We start from the raw sequence: 27006 nt of genomic DNA on the forward strand, positions 1-27006 counted from the left end.
CCCAGCTAGCATCTAGAACCACTTAATAAAAACATAGTTGTTTCTTGCTTTATCTTTAATTTGTTTAGTTTGTGCTGTCTCTAGGCTAGAATATAAGGTCTGCGAGAACAAGGGTTTTCCTCTTCTATTCGCTGTTGTGTATTATCCCCTACCCACCAAATGTTTATTAAATGAATCAGTTTATTAACCATCACATACCAGCCTAAGGAAGTGAAAGAACAAAAAATAAATATGAAAAAGTGAAGGAATGCTAGAACAGAAAAGTCAGATAAAAATGAAGTATGAGAATATCACCTGACACTGCTTCAGGATTATTTTGCAGTTCTTTCAGCCCAAAAAAAAAATTTGAGTCTTAATTTTAAATTCACCTACAAATCTATTTTTAAAACACAAGCTTAACACGCAACTTTACTATGCAGGTAACAGCCGAGAGCTGCACTGCATCATGGGAAAGCAGAAGGGAGGGTCAACCAATACCTTGTAAACCCGAATGTACTCTTCAATGCTCAAGTCCCGAAATTTTTGCCACAGTGAAAGTGCTTGCACATCGCCCAGTTCCAATCGTTGGAAGAACTCCTGTGCTGCTTTTGCTACACTTTTATCATCTGCTGCTTCTTTATTAACTTGTACATAAACCTAAAAGTACAATAGTACATTAAATGAAGTACATAACAGGTCATTGTTATCTCTAACACGGAAAGAAAGCAAAAAAAGCACATTCTGAGAATTCTCATTTAAAATTTTCCAAGTTGGGTACATTACAGAGTGTAACTTTTTCTTTTTTGCCATGGGCCCCTGGTGAAGCATATAGACCCCTTCTCAAAATGTTTCTAAATTCATAAAATAAAATACACAGGGTTACAAAGAAAAGAATTACTCTGAAATAACCAAATAGCCAAAAATTAATTTGTGATATAGTAATGGAGGAAAATACTCAATTTCCGAGAGAGGTCAGGGAAAACAAAGTATAATTTTTTCTTTCCAACTAAATCCACAGATCCCCAGGGTAAGAATACCTATTTAAGACTAAACTGGCATTTCTTCTGTTATTTTTCAAAATGCCATATTATTATCCTGTAACTTCGCTGAAAAAGGTTGAATAAAGTAGGATGGCTCGATCTGGCAAAGAAACAGCTAACGGATGATTTAGCATTTGTTTTAATCAAAGATTTTAAAACTGTTCTCTAAATAGCTTACTGTGTAAAGACCAATACAATAGGTGATCTTGGTAAAAAGGACTGCTTTTGGATAGTTAGTATAATTATACTCTAAACTTAAGATCCTAAAAACTGTGTTGAGCACCTCTTCTGGAGTTTTATTTTGCATCACCTGTCTTAGCTGGTTTAGTTCCATACTCAGCCAAGAACTAGGGTGGAGTTGATGGTTTATTAAGGGCTCAGGCTTACTCTTCCAGCTCTAGGAATCTGTGTTCCCAATGTAGTTTCAATCATTTTTCAGTCTCCAAAATATAATGTTAATAAATGACATTAAAATATTAATATTATAGTTCAAGTAGTACTGAAGTTATACATATGGACAAATATTTACAAATTGTAACTCACCTGCAGGTTGAAACATCAATGATAACTTTACTATATTATTTCCAGAAAGCTATTAAAGTCTCATGAAAGCAATAAAAATTGGTGAATAAACTATGAAAAAATAAGGCTTCTAAACCCTTACAATGTTATTATCAAAACATCCGGACAGCAGTATTTGGATAGGAAAAAATGATTTTATTGCTGGAGGACACATTGGCTTATACCCACTAGATACTACCAACAAATGGGACAGGGCATTAAACATCTCTCAAGGTAAAAACGTTTCACCTTTCATAGATGATCTATGTTAATTACTGGAATGACAGACTTAAATAAATAAATACTGCTAAATAAAGTTAAAATTACCTTTTTTTTTCCCCCTAGAAAAGAGTTAACTAGCAGGTCTGATACTGTTATATTTAAAACATCCTGCTTGCAAGGTTGGCCACTGGCTGGCATCTATTAACTTAGATTTTTGGGAATGTCTCCACCAACTTAACTGATAAAAGTGGTCATTGTGCCTACACTGTGGATGCAAACAGTACAGCTTAGGCTGAACTTCTGCTTTCCTTCTGGGAGTTTGGGATTTAGGACATTCTAAGCAGAGGGTACCTACATGACCAACTCTCAATAAAAACCTTGGACACAGGGTATCTAATGAACTTTTGCCAGTGGACATTTCACATGTATTCTCATAATTTGCTGCTGGAAGTATGTGCACCTTGTGTGACTCCACTGGGAAAATTTGGGAGTCTGGAAAGCCTGGTTTCCTCTGGACTTTACCCCATATATGCCTTTTCCCTCTGCTGATTTTGCTTTGTATCCCTTCACTGTAATAAATCATAGCCACAAGTAAGACTATGCTGAGTTCTGTGAGTCCTCTGCGTGAATCACAGAATCGGGGGGAGGAGTGGTCTTAGGATACCTGACACATCATAAAAAGGTGATGTTTATGTAGTCCTATTAGTAAGTCCAGAACAACACATACAATGTCAGTTAGAAAACAAAGAAGACTTTGGTAAAGTATGGGAAAACAAAAAGGGTCCCCATAAGATAGTAAACTGCGGACTTCTTGACTTTTGAATGACACAGCCATTGACAACTGCTTAACGGTCCAGTATACAGATGTTAAAAACATAAATATATATTCACAAGTGGTTTCTGATTCTATCTCACACACATACATACATGTGCACACAAGTTATAAGCAAACACATGCAAAATGTCTTTATTTTCACAAAAGAGTTTAGTTTCTTTTTTTTTTCATAAAGCCTTTCTTCAGGGTGAAGTTTCTTTGTTTTTAAATCTAGGACTTTAAACTCAAATAACCAAACATTTAAAAATCTATTATGCATTATGATATGACTATTTTAGAAAAAACTTCACCAGAATCTTCTCTTTCTTAAAAAATAGAAATAATTAAAACAAAAAGCCCTTAAAACGTGAATATTCTTAGTATTTCCGCAATATGTACTTATAAAACAAACATTAGTGAAAATCAACTGACACTATCAAAGAGAAGAGCTTTAATAAGCACTTCCCAATATACCTATAAATGCACAATATAAAACTAAACAGTTACCATGTACCTTTTTAATTAACCCTTGGAAAGTACGCATTTTGAAGATATCTTCCTTTTAAGGCTAAATTTAGACACAAAGAGATAAAAAGGCAATTTTAAATTTGGGCTTCATAATAAGGCAGCATGGCTTAGTAAAGTTTTTGAGGATGGAAACACAATTTTTCTCTTAGAAGAAAACACAAAAACCAGTTGTGTTTCCTTTAGGGAATAAACTAAATGTCTCAGACTTCCTTAAAAAAAATTAACATTCCCTTTTCACTATTTCTAGATGTTGGGCCTGCCAAATAGCGTAACATTTTATTTTGAATTTAACTCAGATAATTACAGTAAGCTCTTGGGCTGATCTGCCCAAATATAAAGAACTAAGCATGAAAATTAAAAGTAGTATGATAAGCCTTTCTTATCCCTTTAAATTTGATCCTAGAATACCATTAGCCACATGGGCACAGTTTAACTCCTTGATGTGGGGCTCTAACCCCACTTCTAGCCATGCTTATCTTAGAAATACTGAGAATAACTGCTAAGGATGGTTAGCAAAACTTAGAAACCACAGACCCTTTTTTCATATATTTATGTCATCTTAAAATGCACTGAATTTTTACCTAGTTTAGAAAAGAACATGTAAAAATATTCATGATTATAATTTGAACAACTTCATTATGTTTAATGCTGTTTCACTGATCAGAAATTTCTTAGCTGCTAGTTGATTCCGAACATGAAATGAAAAATTAAAGACATTCAAATGTGTTTATATAATTAAAATTGAATGTATCAATACTGCAAACAGTTAATAATAAAGCCAAAATGTGGTAGGTAAAAAAATAACTAACTTGAGCTATTTCATGAGTTATCAAATTTCTCCTCCTTAATACATTAGTAGTAGGATATAAACTGTATTTCACCTTCCATTAATCTTTTCATATTTAGAATCTCCTACTTTTACTCTATGTATATACATAACCACATTCATTATATCTTACATCTTTATTCAGGGATGATAATTATTAACTCCTTGTAGAGCACCACACACAAGCACCTAATAAATGTTAACATTTCTCATGCTGATAAAAGTATTTTTTGCACATTTCAATGGTGTCAGATATTTACTCAGCTATTAATGTGTACTTTGTTCTTGCTAGGTATTTCAAAACTCATTCTAAGAGGAAGACTAAGAGGACAATGACACACTGTAGTGCTGTCCCAAATAAGCAGAGAGAGAGTAGAAAAGCAAGCAGTGTTGGGAAGGGACAGCAGGGAGCAATGGCCAAGTGGAGAAACTGCCAGGATAGAGGAAAGGAGAATTACCTGGAATGGGGAGGAGATGGGGAAGACTTCCAGAAGAGCAGAAGCTAGGAAGCCCCTGGGGTGGTGCAGGCCCACAGTGGGAAATGGTTCACGGTGTGTCTACATAGCGATCTTGTCTCTAGACCTGTGGACAGGGCAAGGACCACCAGCTAATGTTTGTCACACAAGAAGAGCTGCATGCCTCCAAGCATCACACAGGCTGGGATACTAAACATGTAAGAGACCAGTGTGCACTGAAGACAAGAAGAGTCCTCTAGGACTGTCCTAGGAGACACATAAGAGCCTGGGGAACTTTGCATGATTTAGTAGGTGGGAAATTCAATGACTTACACTGACTCTTACAAGTGATAGCTGGAATCAGATTTTCTTATCATTTAAAAACTATTTCTTACATATAAATGTTATTAAGGAACAAAATTCATACTAGCCATAACAGTAACATTCCCTGGAAAAAGAAATGTAACTTAAAACAATGATGAAATCTTGAACGCAATTTTTCATAAAATAAAAACTTCAACTGCATAAATATCCCTACATATGATGAGAATTTAGTCTTGAATTATTTACTTAAAGTTGAGAAATTGGAGACTCTAAAGTTAGGAAAAACATTGTGTCTTGAGGAATAGATACTAATTCCATGTTTTTAAAAATGAGAGCAAGTAAACATTATCACTCATTGAATCGGTGCTTTGATCTTGTCCTATTTAAAAAAATTTTTTTTTGCCTACTGATATGGGGAAGCTCAGGGTCAAAACTATTACGTAAATTATCTAGTGATACACTAACCCCTCACTATTTTTCTTTTATTAAATGCCCATCACTGTAATTACCTTAAATCCTGCTAGAAAGGGGCAAGGTAGAAATACTGAAATAGAACCTTTGGAGGCCATTTTGAACTTAAAGAAATTTTTATACTATTTGTGTTATTATGTAACTGTTTTGTTTTTTTTTTTTTTTTTTGAGACAGAGTCTCGCTCTGTTGCCCAGGCTGGAGTGCAGTGGTGTGATCTCAGCTCACTGCAACCTCCACCTCCTGGGTTCAAGCGATTCTCGTCCCTCGGCCTCCTGAGTAGCTGGGATTACAAGCATGCATCACCATGCCCAGCTAATTATTTGTATTTTTTTTTTTAAGTAGAGATGCAGTTTTGCCACGTTGCTGAGGCTGGTCTCAAACTTTTGAGCTCAGGCAATCCACCTGCCTCAGCCTCCCAAAGTGCTAGGATTGCAGGTGTGAGCCACTGCACCTGGCCTATGTAACCTTTTTTAATGTCAGTGCTAGGATACAGGCTAATCCATATTTTATTGGCATGATATTTATCTCTTATAAGAGGCTGCCCTTACATTTCATAAGAATGGCTATGGTTACAAAAGCCATATTAATAGGCAATATGCAATGAGTCAAGTTCTATTAATAAAACCTTCTATAGCAAAAAAAAAGGTTAATATGCTTAGAGATACTGTTAGATAATAAAGTCTATTCAAATAATTTAAATCTAAAAGGAAGCCTGATAAGTTACCTTTAAAAGTATTATTTAAATAGGTAAAAGTAAATGATGACACCCTCATATCCATGATTCAGATTTAACACTTGTTAACTTTTACCATAAGAAATTACTTTTTGCCTGGGCGTGGTGGCTCACACCTGTAATCCCAGCATTTTGTGAGGCCAAGGTGGGCGGATCACAAGGTCAGGAGTTTGAGACCAGCCTGGCCAACATGGTGAAACCCCGTCTCTAGCAAAAATACAAAAAAATTAGCTGGGCGTGGTAGTGCACACCTGTAATCCCAGCTACTCAGGAGGCTGAGGCAGGAGAATCATTTGAACCCGGGAGGCAGAGGTTGCAGTGAGCTGAGATCACGCCACTGCACTCCAGCCTGGGCAACAGGGCAAGACCCCATCACGAAAAAAAAAAAAAGAAAGAAAAAAAAAGAAATTACTTTTCAATATAAGTGGAAAGGCTTTTTGATATATTGTCTAAAGCTTATTGCAAATGTTTTCCTGAATCACTAATGTGAATTCTAAATAAAAAAAATATATTAGTTATTTAACAGCCAATTCACAAGGGAAGAGGAACTATAACAAAACTACTTCCCTGTTTTGTAACCAAAAAAACCAAATTAGAATAATTAAAGAAAAAGTTTCAAATGCTTGCCAACAAAATCCTAGGTCCCACGTACAAAACAGCTAGATGTCATGGGAAAAGAATGCTATAAGGTACAGAGAAAAACCACTAGTGAAGCATATGCACCAAAATGGAAATGCAATAAATGACTGTGGGTGTTAAATATTTTCATCAAAGAAATTCTGAAACTATCATACAATATCATTTCCAAGCTAGCTGAGAAACTGAATATACTAATACTGATTATAGTGCAATTTAGAGAATACTGATCATAGTTCAATTTAGAGGAAGGCAGGCCATAAAATCTGCTACTGGATGGCCTATGCCAAATTCAAAACAAATATGCCAGAAGGTTGAAAGTGCCAAAACTAAACTACTAATTGTGTCCCTGGTATAGCAACTCAAGGGATGAAAGAAAGGAAAATTCTATGTACATAATTAAACCAATGGAAATCAATGGTTCATAAAGCCATTCTATAGTGGGGGTGTGGGGACATTCACTGCATAGAGCACTCAGGAGCCAGACTACCTGTGCCGGAATCCTGGGTTTGGCCTGTGGTTTCCTCTGCAGTAAACTATGTTAACAAAGTAAGTTAAATTCTGACAAATGGTAATTAGTGTATCCTATAATAGTTACTTATTTCCTGGACAAACAATACATTTTATATTCCACAAATTATATATAATTAGAAAAGGGGGCAAAAGAGAACTATAAAAGCAAATTCATTCAGGCATTTACTGCAAGCCATAATATTTAGGGTTGTGGATAAGGAAGGTAAGGAAGACATGGTCCTTCCTCTCAAAGAGCTCACTACTAACTACAACTTGATATGGAAAAAAAACAAGGGTTCCATCAAAGCTTTGAGAAAACAGATTTTCACAAATAAGAAAGAGTAAATGCAGATTATCTTAAAGTTTTCCTTCGAATAAATCAGCCAACATTATTTACCAATACACCAAGCACTTTCCAAGCATAGAATCACGATCTCTGACTTTCTGGTCACCTTTCTGGTGACCAGAAATAACGATGGGGCAGAGTCTCTGTATTACCACCTACGCTATTTGTGACATTGCAGGGCAAGCAAAGGCATCTTTCAATTATTAAATAAATTGAGTTGTTGACATTCAGATTTTCTTTTAGAAACAGAATAACATCAACATTTGCTTAAAGCTCAAAAAAATTCCTCATTTATGCTAACAGTTGTTTTTGAAAGTAATCCAAAGTGACAAATGTAATTTTAAAATGAAAACAGAGTCTATAAAATTTGCATATATAATAACCTGTAGGCTGCCATTTTAGGCTTTGCATATTTTCTGTCCTGCAAAAGGAGAAGGAAAAGAGCAACTGAATACTCTAATGGTCTTGTCGTCTATTACAAATAGCAAAGTGGGTGTATCTTGCCTTCTTTTGTCTTTAAATGCAGTTTCCCAGTGAATCTATTCGGCAAAAGAACACTAATGAAAGCAACACCATTATTATTCGACTTTTTAGTTATTCACAGAAGTACCTTATTGCCCTTATTCCTTCCATATGTGTACCCATCAGTAAATAACCTCTAACATAGATGTTGATCTTCCACTATTTTTGAGTCTCTAAAGGCAGGAAATTATATTAAACTGCATAGAAAGAAATATATTCTTAGGTTTCTGTGGAGTTTGAAGACAGATTCCCCTGAAATATTTAAAATATTGTACAGCCTCAGCAACAGTGAGACTTCACCTCCACAAAAAAACCCACAAAACCTACACCTATATATGGCTAGGCACAGTGGCTCATGTCTGTAATTCCAATACTTTGGGAGGCTGAGGTGGGAGGATCACTTGAAGCTAGGAGTTTGAGACCTGCCTGGACAGCATAGCAAGACCCTATTGTTATTTAAAAAATTAAAAAATAGGTTGGGTGTGGTGGCTCACACCTATAATCCCAGCACTTTGGGAGTTTGAGGCAGGAGGACTGTTTGAGCCCAAGAGTTTGAGACCAGCCTGGGCAACATAGGGAGACCCTGTCTCTATAAAAAATCAAAAAATTAGTTGGGTGTGCTGGTGTGTGCTTGTAGTCCTAGCTACTTGGGTTGCTGAGGTGGGAGAATCACCTGAGCCTGGGAGGTCAAGGCTGCAGTGAGCCGTGATTGTGCCACTATATTCCAGGCTGGGCAACAGAGTAAGATCCTGTCTCACATAAATAAATAAATAAATAAATGAATAAATAAATAAATAAAAGATAAAAATAAAATGTCATAGAAGACAAAGGTTTACTATTTGCAAGATTAAATAAAAACTTTTGAGGTGGGGAAGAAGAAAGATAAAAAGAATAACTCTCACATGTCATGCTGCACTCTAAATCAATGACACAAGGTCTCCAAGCAGGTATTTGTATTTTCTGCAACATGGGGTGTCTCTGTGTAAAAAGTGAAGTAGAGGTTCCCCTTCAAAGACACTTTCCTCCCCGTCTAATTAAGGACAAATAGTGACTTCTCTTAGAAGTAAAATTTATTCAAAGACCTGTCATAACATCCTTAAATATCTGCTAGCCGTAATAAAGAAATCAATATACTTTGTGTTCTTAGCTCCTACAATTTAGCCTAAATATCTGCCTTGGCATGCTTACATTGGTCCAAGCAAGCATTAGGTGACAGCCTGTTCCTCTTCCTTATTTGGAGGTGTTTTTACCTTTCTCAGCATTTCACAAGTTACTTCCTGCTTCCTTTGTTCTCCCCTGCCTTTGCCTCTTTTGAAAAGTTAAAGTTGCTAGCCAATCGGGACAAATACAGAATGTGAGGTTCCGTTCCAGCCAATGGAAACCAGACACAGCAGTAAGGTGGATGTGTCAAGTTATAAATGACCCTGTCTCCTTTGTTCGGTATACTCTCGTGGCAAAACTGCTGGCGAGTGTACCCTTTCTGCAGAGAGTAAAAATGGCCTTGCTGAGATAATTAAATTTATGTTCAAGTGCTATTTCTTTGTGGCACCGGGGAACAAGCATGCTATTTCTAAATAAACATTTTTACATATAACATCTGTGGGCCTGGATCTCATGAAAGATTAAGCTTGAGGTAAAATTATTCAAGTGTAAAAATAAATAAATAAATACAGTAAAAACTCCAGGCACTAAGGGAACATACTTTATAGACAACCATGAAGAATTATTAATTTTTATATTCCTCCCTATCAATAAAACTCTTAATGGGAAAGAGAGAAGAAATCTTTTGGTTAACATGATAAATCAAAATGCAGTCATTTAGAGTGCAGTGTTGGCATGGACTCAGGGGAAAATGGCAAACCTTTAAAGGTCTTTAAGAACTGGAATATGGGCTAGGTGCGGTGGCTAACACCTGTAATCCCAGCACTTTGGGAGGCCGAGGTGGGCTGATCATGAGATCAGGAGTTCAAGACCAGCCTGGACAACATAGTGAAACCCTGTCTCTACTAAAAAATACAAAAAAAAAATAGCTGGGTGTGGTGCTGGGCACCTGTAATCCCAGCTACTCGTGAGGCTGAGGCAGAACTGCTTCAACCCAGGAGGCAGAGGTTGCAGTGAGCCAAGATCACACCATTGCACTTCAGCCTAGGCAACAGTGTGAGACTCCTCAAAAAAAAAAAAAAAAAAAAAAAACTGGAATATGTTTTTGTTCAATTTAACTGCAAAGCCAGCTGCAGGAAAAAATCACGTTAACAGGAAAATGATGAAGCACCCTCTGTGGCTTAAGCTGGAGAAGTAAAGCATTATTTTTGCAAGTGCTTTTTCTCACACACAAGCAGAACATGTTTAGTCTGATCCCCTGATCTGTCACCAATATGGCTGACTTCGTATCCGCGTTTCCACTGTGAGGCCCAGAAACGGCAGAGATAACAACAGGGACAACAAAAAGGAAACACATCCCTGGAGATTGTTTGGACAGGAAGGGCTTTATTAATAAACTTCAGGAAGAACTGAAGATAAAGAAGCAAAGTATCCAAGGGACTAAATGAAATAGAGTAGGCAGAAATTCACCTTGGACAAAAGCCAGGAAAAGGAGGTGAAAGATGTAAATGGAAAAAGCACACACAATTTCAGAGAGAAATAGACATGCTGTCCCCCACACCAGAAAAAGAACAAAAATACTCATTTTTCAAGTCTAATTGATATACAGTTATTACCACGAAAAAAGCTGCAGTACATATTAACTGACAGAAAATTGAGAAATTTCTGTGTCGAATAATTATCTTGCATGTTTATTCTAAAAGATTCTATACCTGAAGAAATACTGTCCCAAATCAACTAAAAGGACATTTAAAAAATCTTAGATTAGGAAATAAAAATAACCTAGTAAAATAAGTGCAACATTTTCTTTCTTTCTGAGACAGGGTCTTGCTCTGTTGTCCAGGCTGGAGTGCAGTGTCATGACTACAGCTCACTGTAGCCTTGAACCCCTGGGGTCTAGCAATCCTCCTGCCTCAGTCTCCCCAGTAACTAGGACTACAGGCACAGGCCACTGTGCCTGGCTAATATTTTATTACTTTATAGAGGCCAGGTCTCATTATGTTGCCCAAACTGGTCTTGAACTCCTGGTGTCAAGCAATCCTCCTGCCTTGGCCTCCCAAAGTGCTGGGATGCAAGTGTGAGTCACTGTGCCCAGCCAAAAGCAACATTTTCAATTATGTTTTGGTTCCTTGTTTTAAAGAACATATTTTTTAAACCTCTGGAGGCTGGGCGTGGTGACTCACGCCTGTAATCCCAGCACTTTGGGAGGCCAAGGTGGGTGGATTACCTGAGGTCAGGAGTTTGAGACCTGCCTGGCCAACATGGAGAAACCCCATCTCTACTAAAAATACAAAAATTAGCTGGTTATGGTGGCATACGCCTGTAGTCCCAGCTACTTGGGAGGCTGAGGCATGAGAATTGCTTGAACCCAGGAGGCAGAGGTTGCAGTGAGCTGAGATTGCACCACTGCACTCCAGCCTGGGCAACAGAGCGAGACCCTGTCTCAAAATAAAGAAAAATAAACCTCTGGGATTAAAAACATGTTACTAAGCTACATAGTACTCTGAAAAATTTTTGAAATGTTTTCTTGCCAACTTACTTCAAAGAGATGCTGTAGAGGATTGGACTGCAGTTTTTCCTCATAGCCAAACAGCTGGAAGCCAGTTCCCAGAAGACCTACCATGATAATCCGTAAATGAAAAATTATAAAGTTGAACAACAGAGAATAGGCATGACAGGGAATAGGTATAATTCTATAAAAAGACCAACCTGTCATATTATGTATCCTGAGAAGTATTACAAAACACACTTTTACCTTCTATGACCCCATAATCTGACACAAGTCAAATTCAATATATTTAATCATAAATTCAACATACTGAATAGATCACTGAAATTAAGCTCACAGAAACCAATAGGTTATGAGCTCATCAAAGGTAAAGTCTAGGACTAATTTATCTTTGTACTAACAGTGCTGAACACCACCCTAGCAGACATTAAAAAATAAACATTTATTAAGCATCTACTCTGTTGAAGTGACATCATGAAGCTAGACACTAGGCACTCAAAATTTATTAAAAAAACTGATGGAAACTGTTTTCAAACTTTCTTTTTAAACTTGTAGGCATTAATGCGAAGACAGCAATGGTTTTGTTGTTATATTAGTTCTTAAACAAAATTGGAGGAAAACAGCAAGGTAAAACTTGGAACATCCTTGATTATTTCTCAGGTTCAAGGTAGCCAAGCAACAAAAATCTTTAATTTGACTGTGTATAATTTTTTAGTCTTTGATGATAAATTCAGAGTTCAGGGATAGTGTTAATTTGAACCTAAAAAAAAAAAGAAAAAAAAAAACCCAAACACCAAAAACTGAGGTTGGTAAACTACATATCAAAATTCCTAGTACAGTCTGGGAGTATGTAGACTCAAGATATTCTGCATAAAGATGATCATAACTTCCGTTAGAAAGGATATATGCAGCCTGGGTTAAGAGGAATATTAGTTGGGAGGCGGGAGGGATAGCATTAGGAGATATACCTAATGTTAAATGACGAGTTAATGGGTGCAGCACACCAACATGGCACATGTATACATATGTAACAAACCTGCACGTTGTGCACATGTACCCTAGAACTTAAAGTATAAAATAATAAAAAAAAAAAAGAGGAACATTAGTTTTATTACTTTAAAAACCAATTTATGGCTGGATGCAGTGGCTCATGCCTGTAATCCCAGCACATTGGGAGGCCAAGGTGGGTGGATCACCTGAGGTCAGGCATTTGAGACCAGCCTGACCAACAAGGAGAAACCCTGTCTCTACTAAAAAAATACAAAATTAGCCTGGCATGGTGGCACATGCCTGTAAACCCAGCTACCAGGGAAAGTGAGACAGGAGAATCGCTTGAACCTGGGAGGCGGAGGTTGCGGTGAGCCGAGATCCCGCCATTGCATTCCAGCCTGGGCAACAAGAGCAAACTCTGTCTCAAAACAAAAACAAAAACAAAAACAAAAACAAAAGCAAAAAAACAAAACCAACTTATTGGCCGGGGGTGATGACTCACTCCTGTAATCCCAGCACTTTGGGAGGCCGAGGTGGGCGAATCACTTGAGGTCAGGAGTTTGACACCAGCCTGATGAACATGGCAAAACCCTGTCTCTACTAAAAATACAAAATTAGCCTGGCATGGTGGTGCATGCCTATGATCCCAGCTACTCGGGAGGCTGAGGCAGGAGAATCACTTGAACCTGGGAGGCGGAGGTTGCAGCGAGCTGAGATGGTGCCACTGCACGCCAGCCTGGGTGACAGAGCGAGACTCCATCTCAGAAAGAAAAAAAAAAAACAATTTATTTCTATATCAATTACCAAGCTTCAGATCTAAAGGGCTTTACTGATACACATTTTTCTATTCAAGGTTCAGTAGAAAGTGGGACGTGACTGAACACAGGACACAGGAATATACAATACTTTGGAACTTAGGAACAAGAAGGATGACTGAAGCTCTATTAACTTTCAAGCAAGAGCAAATGTGATTATAATTCAGGGTGGTTGGAGCAGTGTGTGGAAAGATGCTCAGTGTTCCAAAACACAAAAATGGGAAAAGTAAGGGCCAATTCCATTTAACATTCAGCCTAATACATTTTCAAAAACTAATTCTGTGCTTAGAAACTGCCAACTTTCAAATGGAGATAGCTGAAACAGCAAAAATATTCTTTAACAGTGATGGTTATAATGGAAATGCTGACAGATCATTAACCACAGCAGTCCTTTAGAGAAAAAACTGCTGTAACGAAATCCTGCAGCTAAAATTTAATGAATACCCTAATCACATATTTGCTAATGCCTCTGAAATGTCTAAATCGGTCAAATTAATAAAAATCAGTGCTATCTATTAAGTCTGACTATTGAGCCTAGGGCCTAGCCCTCTGACTACCAGCTGTTGTGAACTACAGGTTGATTTTTTAAATGCAGGGCATGTATTCTGATTCTTCCATAGTGAACAGTAATGGTTCTGTTAACAGGTTCAAGGTCTACTCTTCTTAGAGTGCTTCTTATGTGACAAGCACTGTAGATATAAAAGTTAAGTCCACGCCTTCAAGGAACATGCCTAGTAGGGCAGGGAAGCACACAAATAAGAACATAAGACAGGAGCCTTACCATACTTGAGTAGAGCTGGATACCAGGAAATTGGTGATGTGAGAAGATGGGCAAGGGTGTGTCTTTGTGTCAGAGAATGCTTTATAGAAATGATACTAGAGCTGTTTCTTAAAATACACATGGTGGTAACAACAGATTTTTTTTTAAGTTTGTATTTCACAATCTACCCCGTCCTTCACTACCATAACAACTTCATTTACCTTGCCCTCTCACACCTTGATTACTGGTTTACATGAATTAGGAATGGTTCTGAGTAAACTCATTATATGAGAGATAATTTGTGGTAGTACTTAACTGTTTGGATCGCACTCCTCTCTTTTTCTCTTTTCCTTTTGGACTTTCCCCAACCCACTCCTACCTCTCACTGTACAGTTAAAGGGGAAGACAAAGTATCACCCTTTGCTTATCTTCTGGGCCACTGGCTATGGTATAACAGGGGATCCTACTTCATGTAGAATGGCCCAGGGAGGCTGGATGTCCTTAGATTGAAAAATGGCAGGGCTGTGGTTGAGAAAGGTGTACACAGTTAGACTTACTTCTTCCCTGTATACTCACTTCTACATTTAACTAATAAAAGTAGGCAATTTCTCTTTATTAAAACCACAAAAGCCTACATCAGGTCTTACTCTGGGGTTTCTTTCTTGAGACAAGGTCCTGCTCTGTCAACCACGCTGGGTGCAGTGGACTGCAGTCTTGACCTCCTGGGCTAACACGATCCTCTTACCTCAGGCTTCCGAGTAGCTAGGACTACAAGGGCATGCCACCATGTCTAGCTAATTTTTTTGTATTTTGTAAAGACAGGATTTCGCCATGTTGCTCAGGCTGGTCTCAAACTCCTGGGCTCAAGTGATCCACCCGCCTTGGCCTCCCAAAGTGTTGGCATTACAGGAGTGAAATACCATGCCTGGCCCAGGTCTTCTTTGAATGTGTGAAGTTACCTTCCCCAAAGGTAACTTGTGTGGTGAGAATTACTCAAATAAATAGAAGATTTTATGCAAAAGAGCCATTAGGGAAAAAAAAAAAAAAATAGGTAGGACATACTACTTCATCCAATGGGATTCTGCCTATATTCTGTCCAGATCAAAGTTTTTACAAATTGAATTTTACAATGAAATGAAAAATAAAATCTCAAGTGTACTTACCAAACTGCATGCCCCAATCGCCAAGGTAATTTATTCTTATTACTTGATGTCCTAAAGCTTCTTTGAGATTTGCTATAAAATTTCCTAGTAATCAATAAAGTATATAGTTTCTCATTCTTGTTATCCATTTTTTGACATAAGAACCATGTACTTCTCTATTATCAAACATAAGTAGAAAATTCTTTTCACTAAATTTACCAACTCAATGTTTTTTACTAAAACATTCATCATTGTGTTTTCATGTGTTATGGAAAGGGAGTAAGAAATTACTTGTAGGGCAGTTATTCCAAAGAATCTCACATTTTCACAGTAACAGAACTTTCACCTACATTATTAATAGGATTTGAGGACATGTTAGAGTAACTGCTATTCTAGTCAATTTCAAGAAGAGAAAAAAAAAAAATCCCAGTAATTAACAAGAAATATATTTGTCTGTGCCCTAAGAACCGAAGCCTCACTGTTGTATTTTCCCTTTTTGTGTTTTCTAAATAGCTCATTCTATCTCCTTTTAATCACTAACATCTACCCTCTGCATGCCTGCTCCCTAACAGCATGTAATAATCTAAGGCCTTCACTTTCCCATACTGCTGATGCTGGTTTCACACTCAACATCTATTCTGCTTTCCTTCTTGGGTGCCCTCATCTACTGCCGAGGCTGAAAATGTAAAAAGTACAATTCCCAGAGTCTCCTGTGGTTAGAGTTCCAGTAGTCTTCTAGGTTTGGGCAATCAGATACAGTGTCTGTAAGATTTGGAAGGTGAGCTACTTCTATTTTTTTATGACAAGCACAGTGGTGGGGGCTGTGTTTTTTTGTGACACCATGAACAGAGGTCCTAGTATTCCATGATGGCCACCAAAGAAATTGAAAGTATATGGGGCTGCCTCTTATGCCTGTATGAATTCTAGATGGCATGGCAGGAGTAGTGGCATTTTCTTGACCATGGCAGTGGCAGCATGGTTCTAGAGCAGTGCAAGGGATTGCAGAAGAGGCAGGAGCTCCCTTGATGACAAGGTTCCATAGTGCAGTTTTGGGAGTTATTTATGTCAGCTTAATCCAAAGCTTCTGCAGCCCTCCAACAACTTTGTAAACCATTCAATATTCTACAATAAATCCTCTTCTGCCTTTACTAAGAATGGATTTAGTTTTTTGCAAATAAACCCTCACCAATATCCATACCTGACTTAAACTACTGCAGCTATCTTCTTTTCCAGCTTCCCTAGTTGTAGACTTTCCCAATCTATAAAGTCCCTGCAACTGGAACCTGTTTTTCCAGCTGGCACACAGATGGCATATTCCTATTTTTTTCTTAGCCCCTTGTTATATCACAAATCCAATTAAATGTCTGAACCTAGACTTCTGGAATTAGACTGCCTAATTTCAAATCCTGGCTACAATACTTTGGGATGTTGGGAAAGTTACTTTTGGCTGCTGAATTTCTTCATCCATAAACCAGAGTTAACAGTATTTACCAAACTGGGCTGTTATAAAATTGAATGATATAATACATGAAGACACAGCATGTTAAGTTCTCAAATATTATCTCTAACTGGTCCAAATATTTCCCTCAACTGTGAAAACAACTTTATCATACCCTACCCATCATTTACTCACTCCTATACTTTTGACTTACTCATATAGCTTTTTTTATACTGTATATTTCTTATACTTTTTCATCAAGTCCTGTCATTTCTTCTCTTAAAATGCTGCTCAAGAACAGTAAGAGCTGACCGCACAACAATCTATGCCACAAGTACTAATTTCTCCAATTCTGAAAAGTATTGAAGTACAGGTTAAACAACTTTCTCTTAAGCATGCAATAGGACAGATTTCTACATTGGAAGTGAGATTAGATTGAGATAAACTCCAAAGTCCCTTCCAATTCTAATATTATATAATTTTAATTTCAGTTTTTAAATTGACCTGCTGTATGACATGTGTTAAATGAAAATCGTAAGTATATTATACACTGAAGCATTACAACTATGAAGTACTATATAGTAATCTCTATTTATTGAAATAGTCTTTTTTCTTTTCTTTTTTTTTTTGAGACAGAACCTAGCTCTGTCACCCAGGCTGTAGTGCAGTGGTGCGCAGCTCACTGCAACCTCTGCCTCCCGGGTTCAAGCGATTCTCCCACCTCAGCCTCCTGAGTAGCTGGGATTACAGGTGCACACCATCACACCAGCTGATTTTTTGTATTTTTAGTAAAGATGGGGTTTCACCATGTTGGCCAGGCTGGTCGCGAACTCCTGACCTTAAATGATCTGCCTGCTTCAGCCTCCCAAAGTGCTAGGATTACAGGTGTGAGCCACTATGCCCGGCCAGAAATAGTCTTGTTTTAACTTCCAGTCTTGAACATTCCACTAAGTGCTCACATGACCGAGGTGAATTTTTAACAAAAATTGTTATTCGTGTTTTTTAATTTTGACAAAAATTGTTATTAAGTAGAAACCTTGTCTCTACTAAAAATACAAAAATTAGCCAGGCATGGTGGCGCACGCCTGTAATCCCAGCAACTTGGGAGGCTGAGGCAGGAGAATCCTTTGAACCTGGGAGGCAGAGGTTGCAGTGAGCCAAGATTGCGCCACTGCACTCCAGCCTAAGTGACAAAAAAACCACAAAATAAATGAACAAAAAAATCTGAAAGGTTATACATCCCCACATAACTATTTTTACTTTTGCATCTTTCAGGTCTTCCCCATATTTATACTTATTTTTAGAAAGTTAAAAATCATAACATATATAGCAGTTAAAATTAGTTTCTCAGTGAATCTTTTGGTTTTGAAATCAATTTTGTGTTTCCACAAAACAGTGTAACCAATGTCATCCATTTCCTGAATTGGCAGGAGGCTCATATAAATTTAAACTTTTTGTTTTTTGCTATTTTGTTATTTAAGCATTAAAACATTAAATTGAACTATCAAATACTTCCTCAAAGGAACGTTTAGCATTTTATGTGAAACTAAACACTTACCTATGATGGTAGAACGCAAATGTCCAACATGAAATTTTTTGGCAACATTAGGTGAACTGCAAAAAAAATGGGAAACATTTCTCTATTCTAAGACTTAAGACTTCTAAGAATCAACTAGGTCATGCCTCCATACTTTGACAAAACTGTGGAGTATGGCCTTTGGTATTAGGGCAAAGATAAGTTAAAAGTTAAAAATTTAGAGCAAAGATAAATTAGAACTCGAAATTTTGACATTGTGTTAATGAAATTGATCTTGTGACTCCTGAAGTAATAGCATTCACGTAAGTGGTATCTGCTAGTATTTACTGTATCAGAAATCAAAATTTAAAAATGTAAAAATACCCCCAGCACAATGGCTCATGCCTGTAATCTCAGCACTTTGGGAGACTGAGATGGGAAGACTGCTTGAGGCCAGAAGTTTGAGACTAGCCTGGGCAACATATCAAGACTGTCTCTACAAAAAAAATTTTTTTTAGTCAGGTGGCTGGGTGTGGTGGCTCACTCCTGTAATCCCAGCACTTTGGGAGGCCGAGGCAGATGGATCACTTGAGGCCAGGAGTTCTAGACCATCCTGGCCAACATGGTGAAACCCTGATTCTACTAAAAATACAAAAAATTAGCGAGGTGTGGTGGTGTATGCCTGTAATCCCAGCTATTTGGGAGGCTGAGGCAGGAGAATGGCTTGAACCTGGGAGGCGGAGGTTGCAGTGAGCCGAGATCACGACATTGTACTCTAGTCTGGGTGATGAGAGCAAAACTCTGTCTCAAAAAAATAAAAATAAAAAATAAAATAAATAAATAAATAAATAAATTAGTCAGGTGTGGTGGTGCATGCTTGTAGTCCTAGCTACTTAGAAGGCTAAAGTAGAACGGTAGCTTGGGCCCAGGAGCTCAAAGTTACAGTGAACTACGATGACTGCACTTCAGCCTGGGTGACAGAGTAAGATTCTGTCTGTAAAATTAAAAAAAAAAAAACATGTAAAAATATTTATGCATAAAACCTCCCAGAACAATCAGAATGTGGCTCACCACTCCAAATTCCCAATCAACACATTTATCACTCCCGTGTGTGCTCAAGAAGTTGTAATCAATCATTTAACATAGCAAATGCTTCTAGAGCACTCACTACCTGACAGGCACAGCTTCACACACTTCATGGGCATTAACTCATTTAATACTCATATGTGCTTTTATCTTTTATTTTACAGATGAGGGAACTGGGACAACGAAGAGAGATGATGAAGCAAATATGGCAATATCTTGATGACTCTTGAATATGTGTAATGAACATATGGGGGTTAATTATACTGTTCCCTGTTTTGTGCATGTTTGAAAATCTCATAAGTTTTTCAATATTTAAAAAAAGATAAATTAACTTGAACATAGCTGGTTAAAAGTGGTAAAACTAGAGTTTAAATTCTGGTCTGTCTCCAAAGTCTTGTTATACACCCTTAAGGGTACTACGATTTAAAAACTTGATCCTATGGATATGTGTGCACAATTATGAAATTATGAAACTACACACGTATTTATTTAATCATTGTTTAGAAAGAAAGTAAATGTCATCTTAAAGGCTTAAAAAAAAACCTTCCATTTCCAGCCAAAAGAAGATTGGATTTACTCTTCTGCCTTTAAATAATCAGAAAGCCAGAAAAATAGATGAAACACTGATTTTATGAATCTGGACAATAGTCAGTGAAGGACTGTGATGTCTGAGAGAAGAGCAAACAAGGGGAGTCCTAGCGCTGCACCACATTGCTGCCTTACTAGTACATTTGTTGGATGTAGCTAAAGCAGAAAAATCTACAACATGAAATGTTTATATTAGAAAAAAGGTTTTAAATCAATAATCTGAGCTTCTCCTTTAAGAAACTAGAAAAAGTAGAGCAAACTAAATCCAAAGCAAGCAGAATAAAAGAAAATAATACAGATAAAAGTAAAGCAAAAAAAATCAATAGAAATAAAAAACCCCAGAAAAACAGCTCTATATAATTGTGGAGGTAGTTACACAACTTGCATATCTTTGCCAAAACTCATCAAATTATATGTTTAAATATGGTGAAATTATATGTTTAAATAAGTATTGTATGTACTTATCCCTCAATGAAGCCGATTTAAGAAAAAAAAAAAAAAAGAATAGAATACAATGGAACAATAAAAATAATAAGCCAGCCCTGGATGCATTCATATTAAAGGAACATAAAATACATTATTTAAGAAAAAAAAAAAAAGCAAGAAGTGAAAACAATGTAAAATATGTATAGTCTGTTTACAAATGCATAGAACATCTCTAGGAGGGTGAATAAAACACTGATATTCGGATTAATAGATACCCACAGAGGAAACTGAGATGGGGAAGAGCTTTCCTTTTCATTAAATATCTCTTTGTAATCTCTGAATTTTTAAAAAACTAGGTATTTATAATGTCTGTTAAGAAAAACAAAAACAAAAACAAAAACAAAAAAAAACTTTCACAGAGCTTTCCATTTTCCCTCCGGTATTAGAAAAATTGAATCTATCCAGGTCTTCAAGTTTTGACAAAATGTCCCTTGAAATCAACAATTTGCTTCTCTCTGATACCATATTTCTACTGAGAAGGGAATACAATGAAATGGAAGATACAAATTCAATTCTTTTGGCAACTGAAGTAGCTATTATGAATTATAATTTGGGCATCTTACTGGGACTTTTGTTAAATTACTTCATGTAATTTCCTTAATTTTTGTTAAGAAGGGACAGATAACATCACTCTTGGCCGGGCATGGTCGCTCACGTCTATAATACCAGCATTTTGGGAGGCCGAGCTGGGTGGATCACTTGAAGTCAGGAGTTTGAGACCAGCCTGACCAACATGGTGAAATCCTGTCTCTATTAAAAATAGAAAAATTAGCTGGGCGTGGTGGTGCATGCCTGTAGTCCAGCTACTCTACTGGGGAGGCTGAGGCAGGAGAATTGCTTGAACCGGGGAGGCAGAGGCTGCAATGAATCATGCCACTGCACTCCAGCCTGAGCGAGACAGCAAGACTCCGTCTCAACAAAAAAAAAAAAAAAAAAAAAAAGATTACTCTTATTTTCCAGATAAGAGGCCAGAGAAATAAACTGTCCCATTCAAGATCACTGAGCCAGTTACTAACAGTCAGAACTGCTACCCTGACCTCCACAATTCTCATTTTACCAGCCAGAGGTCTCCAATCTGTTTTGCGAGAAGAGTGTCTCACACTTGGGAACAGCAGGAGTTGGGGAAAATCATGTTGAGAAAAGAAAAGAAAAGGCTACCACTGCTTCCCATGATCTTACAGAGCTGATTTGTACAAAATAGGAGAGGCTGACTAGAGAGAGATTAGAGAGGAAACAGTAATTAGCTTCAAGTCTTACACCATCTACCACGAGGAGTCCAAATCTATGATGGACAGCCATTTATCCTGTACTTTATCACACTGCTCCTAAATCAGACAAAATATATGACAACCTACACTACGTACCAGGGAGGCAGTAAAAGTTAAGTATACAGGTTTCAGAATCAAGAGTTAGCTCTGTGAACCTGGGCAAGTTACTTAATCTAGTATTATCATAATCAACTCAATTTAGGGAGAAAGTTTCTTGAGCACAGTGGTATCTCTTGTTTTCTGGGGAATGTTGCTTGGTCTGTTCAGGATACTACATATTTTAAAAATTCTCTTCTCCCACCTCTCTCATTTTCAGAAGAAATCCAAGAACAATCTTCCTGTCCCTACCTATTTTGTCTCTACTTTGAAATCACAACAGCAAGAACTATAGCACCTGGAAAACCTCTAAGGGAGAGAGAAGCAATGGTCTCACAACAATGCCACATGTGAACTGTCAGAGGCAAAGATGGCTGCTAGGAGATAGACAGGCTCTGCCTTCACCAGCATTCAGACACTCATTTAAATTCCAGCTTTCCTTAACTGCTTTAGAAAAAAGCTAAGAGAGGTAAATCCATAAGCAAATTAACTGCCATACAAAAAGCCTACAGAATACAACTCACATAGAACAGGTTATTTTTAGATATTTTTTAAAAGCATAAAAAAAAGGAGCAGTATATGGGAAACCAAAACTTAAGAGGAAAGCCAGGGAATCAATGAGTAAGGAAGACTGAAGCCACAGTATTTCTAGAGCTTAGCTGGAGTAAAAAGATGGTGAAGCTGAAAAAAAAAATGCAAAAGAAGGTAAGTAATGGTGGCAACTTTTCAAATTTTAGGAAACTTTATAATGGCATTATTTCAAGGATGAATGTACGGTAACAGGTAATATATTACCTCCCTGCTGATTTTCCTTTATTTGCCAGTTAGGTAATTGAAAGGGGTTTAAGAGTAATATGGTAATGAAGTGCCTCCCCAGTGAAGAAAGCAGTATGTCCTTTAATTTAAAGACATGAATGAAAATAATCAAAGATGACCACAAATTCTTTGCTTCTCTCACCATTAAGAGATGTACTCTATTTTTCTTCCCTTGAATCTGGGGTGATCTTGTGACTTGCTTTCATCAGCAGAAAGTGACAAAAATGATGCTGTGCCTGTTTCAAGACTAGATGATTTCACTATCTTAGAGCCTTGAGTACCTTTGTAAAGAGGTCTTGCTACCCTGCGGGAGAGACAATGTGGTGGGAGAGAGAGAGATGCCTGGCTAGAGAAGTAAAGAGCCATTTTTGATTTGTAGCCCCACTAGTCTCTAGATGACCGCAGTTACATAAGTGACCTCAGGCAAGTAGAAGAACCACTGGCCTGAAATACCCCTCTCTCCCCATTTCCTAATCCATGGTGTCATAAGTACCAAAATGGATGTTGTTTTAAAACACTAATCAGAAGCTGGCATTTTTTTTTCTTGAAGAGCCAGAGAGTAAATATTTTAATAGGCTTTTGGGCCATCTGATCTGTCGCAACTATTCAACTCAGCTCTACTGTGTTCAACTGCCATTGCAATATGAAAGCAGCCAATGTAGATGATGTAAACAAATGTGCATGGCTGTGTTCCAACAAAACTTTATTTGCAAAAACAAGCGGCAAACTGGATGTTGCCTATGGGCTTAGGTTTAACAATCCCTACACTAAGGTTTGCAGTGGTTTCTTATTCAAGTGGAGATAAAGCAGGCAAATTTCCTTAGGAGATGGCCTTAGTGTAGTTCCTCTCTAGTGTGAAGATGACTGTAGGAATCCCTCTACTCTTTGTGATGCAACAAATATTTAAACTCAACTTTAAAAATCATAATTGTGGTGTACTGGCAGTTTTAGAGTCATTCATAATATGTGTCTACTCCATAGGAGTAGAAGCTTAATCAGTAATTGGTCCTTATTACAAATTCATGAGTTTGCTCTTAGAGGGTCTGCCTTCTTTAAGAAGACAAGTGAGTGGCAGACGGTACACATGCATAAAACCCGCTCTTTCTCTGATTGTCCAGGAGCTAATCATAACTAAGTTTAAAAGCTATTAAACTGCAATAATGAGTTAGTAAACATGAGATAATACTTCCCATATCAATTTTTAAAAATCTTCCACAGACATAAATACTTAATAAGACAAAAGGCTCTTAGCAAGTTCTATCTTTCTAAGTAGAAAAACAGTCCATCAAGACTGTTCTTCAGCTTTAGGAAGACAAATGCAACATCTCTGATAATTTCCTAGGGTTGTCAATCTGTCGGCTGTACAATGAAAGTATTAGTTCTTAGTGTTCCCTTTTCTCTCTTGGTTACCTCTAACAGTCCAAATATCAGACAGTTATACTGACAGCACGTTAGAAAGTTATGAAGACTATTTAGAGGCACATCAAAACTTCAAGCTATTTTTCTGGTAATTAAAAAAATACATTTATTACAAATACTAAAAGACTTGTTTCTCTGGTAATCAAATTACTTAAAAAAATTTTTTTTGACACAGGGTCTTGGTGTGTCTTACCAGAGCTAGAGTGCATGACAATCACAGCTCACTGTAACCTTGAATTCCTAGGCTCAAGCCATCTTTCCTCCTCAGCTTCCCAAGTAGCTGTCACTACAGGAGTGTGCCACCATGCACAACTAATTTTTCTATTTTTTTTAAGAGGCGAGGTCTGCGTTGCCCAGGCTGGTCTCGAACTCTTGGCCTCAAGTGATCCTCCCACCTTGCCTTCCAAAGTGCTAGGATTACAGGCTGAGCCACCATGTCTGGCCACTTTAAAATTCCTAATATGGTAGTAACCATTACCTCTGCCTTAACAGTCTATTAAAGTAAATAACTAGTCAGGCACAGTGGCTCACGCCTGTAATCCCAGCACTTTTTGGGAGGCTGAGATGGGCAGATCACGAGGTCAGGAGATGGAGACCATCCTGGCTAACACAGTGAAACCCTGTCTCTACTAAAAATCCAAAAAAAATTAGCCAGGTATGGTGGCGGGCGCCTGTAGTCCCAGCTACTCAGGAGGCTGAGGCAGGAGAATGGCGTGAACCCAGGAGGTGGAGCTTGCAGTGAGCTGAGATCTCGCCACTCCAGCCTGGGCGACAGAGTGAGACTCCGTCTCAAAAATAAATAAATAAATAAATAAATAAATAAATAAATAAATAAATAAAGTGAATAACTAGTTCTTCCAAAAAAGTAATTGTTAATACTTAAAAAAATAATAATTATTAGACATTTTTGGAGGTCCAAAAATATATTTTTTATTCACAGTTCAATGATTGATTCACTGTGATTTCAAGAAATAACATAATTGCACTGGTTTTCAAGTTTTCCACATGTTATTTATTAAGACCCCCAAATAATGATGGTAATAACACTCCTCTGCCCAGTCAACTTGATTAAGCAACACATAAAAGGGGTGCACCCTCACCTGAATTCAACCACAATCTTCTTCTGGGGAAGTCCAGAGAAAAGTTCACTTTTTAATCCATATTTTGAGCCATCTTCAATTACTTGTTGTAGCACTGTCTGAAAATTAAAGGACTGTAATTTAATGAACAAAAATTACAATGCTTTTAATTACTCTGTTACTGAGAATTAAATGTTGCCAATTTGTTCACTCTAATTTATGGAACTGAGAATTTCTTAGCATCCTCAGTGGCACTACCTCCAGCACCACTTTTCTTGTTACTAATGCTAGTCATAGTAGTAACATGAGTTAACATTTACAAGGGTTCTGTGCCCTTTTATACTCCATGTCTATTCATTCTTACAGTAACCAGTTATGTAGGTATTTTACAGAGAAGGAAACTGAAGCTTGGTGAAGTAAAGTAACAACCAAAAGTCCCACAGTAAATATTAACAACAAAACCAGAAGCACCATTTAACACTTATTGAGTTCATACTATGTGCCAGCCACTGTTCCAAGCATTTTATATGCATTAACTTACTTACTCCTCACGACAGCCATAGAGGTAAGAACTATTTTAACAAAGAAAGAAAAGTACTGAGGGATTAAATAGTGCAGAAAAGAACTTTTCCACTTCACAGTTAACCTGTTAACTGCTGCATGCTGCTGCAGCTTTTGTGATATTAAAGACCACAAGCAATGGTAGGAAAAAGATAAAAATGTATAATGCCTATTGGCTACACAAGTGAGAAACAAGGAAATCCCACAGAAACTTCCCAAACATATTCCAGGTTAGTTTTTAGTTATTAACATAGAACTATGATATATAGTTCACAAAATTCATATTTTATGTTAATGGTGATGAACTTTTGTTTACTCATATTAGTTGGTTTTGTTTCCCTAACTGCATCTATATTTTACTTTTATTTTTATATTTTTGAGACAGGCCTTACTCTGTCTCCCAGGCTGAGTGCAGTGGTGCAATCACGGCTCACTGAAGCCTCAATCAGACTCAAACGACCTTCCTACCTAAGCAATCCTACCACCTCAGCCTCCAGAGTAGCTGCGACTACAGGTACATGCTACCACACCCAGCTAATTAAAACAAAATTTTTTTTGGAAGGGCACAGTGGATCACGCCTGTAACCCCAGCACTTTGGGAGGCTGAGGCAGGTGGATCACGAGGTCAGGAGATTGAGACCATCCTGGCCAACATGGTGAAACCCCATCTCTACTAAAAAAATTTTAAAAAAAAATTAACCAGACATGGTGGCATGCGCCTGTAGTCCCAGCTACTTGGGAGGCTGAGACAGGAGAATTGCTTGAACCTGGGAAGCAGAGGTTGCAGTAAGCCGAGATCGCGCCACTGCACTCCAGCCTGGGCGCAGAGTGAGACTCTGTCTCAAAAAAAAAAAAAAAAAAATTTTTTTTTTTTCTTTTTAATAGACAGGGTCTCTCGCTCACTCTGTCGCCCAGGCTGGTCTTGAACTCCTGGGCTCAAATGATCCTGACACCTTAGCCTCCTAAAGTGCTGGGATTATAGGTATGAGCCACCATGCCTGGCCCCAAAATGCATCTTGAGTCTTAAAAATGTGGTTTATGTTGTGAAAAATTTTATTATTAAAGAGTTGGTTAAAATGGTCTCTAAATGGAACAGGCAGAGAAGGGAGCAGCAGCCAGTACATAACAATCGACATTTAAGAAGCATAAAGTGCTAGGTCCAAGACCAAGTGCTCCTACAGTACCCGTTGTCTTTAAGCCTCATAATCTTAAAGATGGGCAACATTTCCCATTTAATGGATGCAAAAACTAAGGTTCAGAAATAGTATGTATGTGCACAAGGACGTAGAGAAAATAATACTCTCTTGACTCACATTGTGCAATAAGAAACACATAAAGGATTAATACAATATATAGACAGTATAC

General features: G+C 37.5%; 1 protein-coding gene across 39 annotated transcripts in view; it reads right to left on the reverse strand.

The window, feature by feature from the left end:
- RARS2 (arginyl-tRNA synthetase 2, mitochondrial) overlaps positions 1-27006 on the reverse strand; it is a 76050-nt gene that overhangs the window by 16369 nt on the left and 32675 nt on the right. For 18 of the 39 annotated variants that reach the window (NR_134857.2, NR_146756.2, NR_146749.2 and 15 more), the window contains 5 exons: positions 25102-25199; positions 18285-18340; positions 15310-15393; positions 11612-11688; positions 478-636 (listed from right to left, as the gene is read on the reverse strand). Coding sequence is in view for 16 of the 39 variants with exons in the window: in NM_001350505.2 (NP_001337434.1) it covers positions 478-636; positions 11612-11688; positions 15310-15393; positions 18285-18340; positions 25102-25199 (474 nt within the window). In the remaining 23 variants the exon portion in view is untranslated. Of the gene's footprint in view, positions 1-477; positions 637-4428; positions 4553-11611; positions 11689-15309; positions 15394-18284; positions 18341-22724; positions 22887-25101; positions 25200-27006 lie in introns of those variants that run through there. The other 21 variants (NR_146757.2, NR_146750.2, NR_146744.2 and 18 more) reach the window with 10 other exon arrangements.

This window comes from Homo sapiens, chromosome 6, assembly GCF_000001405.40.
Source record: "Homo sapiens chromosome 6, GRCh38.p14 Primary Assembly".
NCBI lineage: Eukaryota > Metazoa > Chordata > Mammalia > Primates > Hominidae > Homo > Homo sapiens.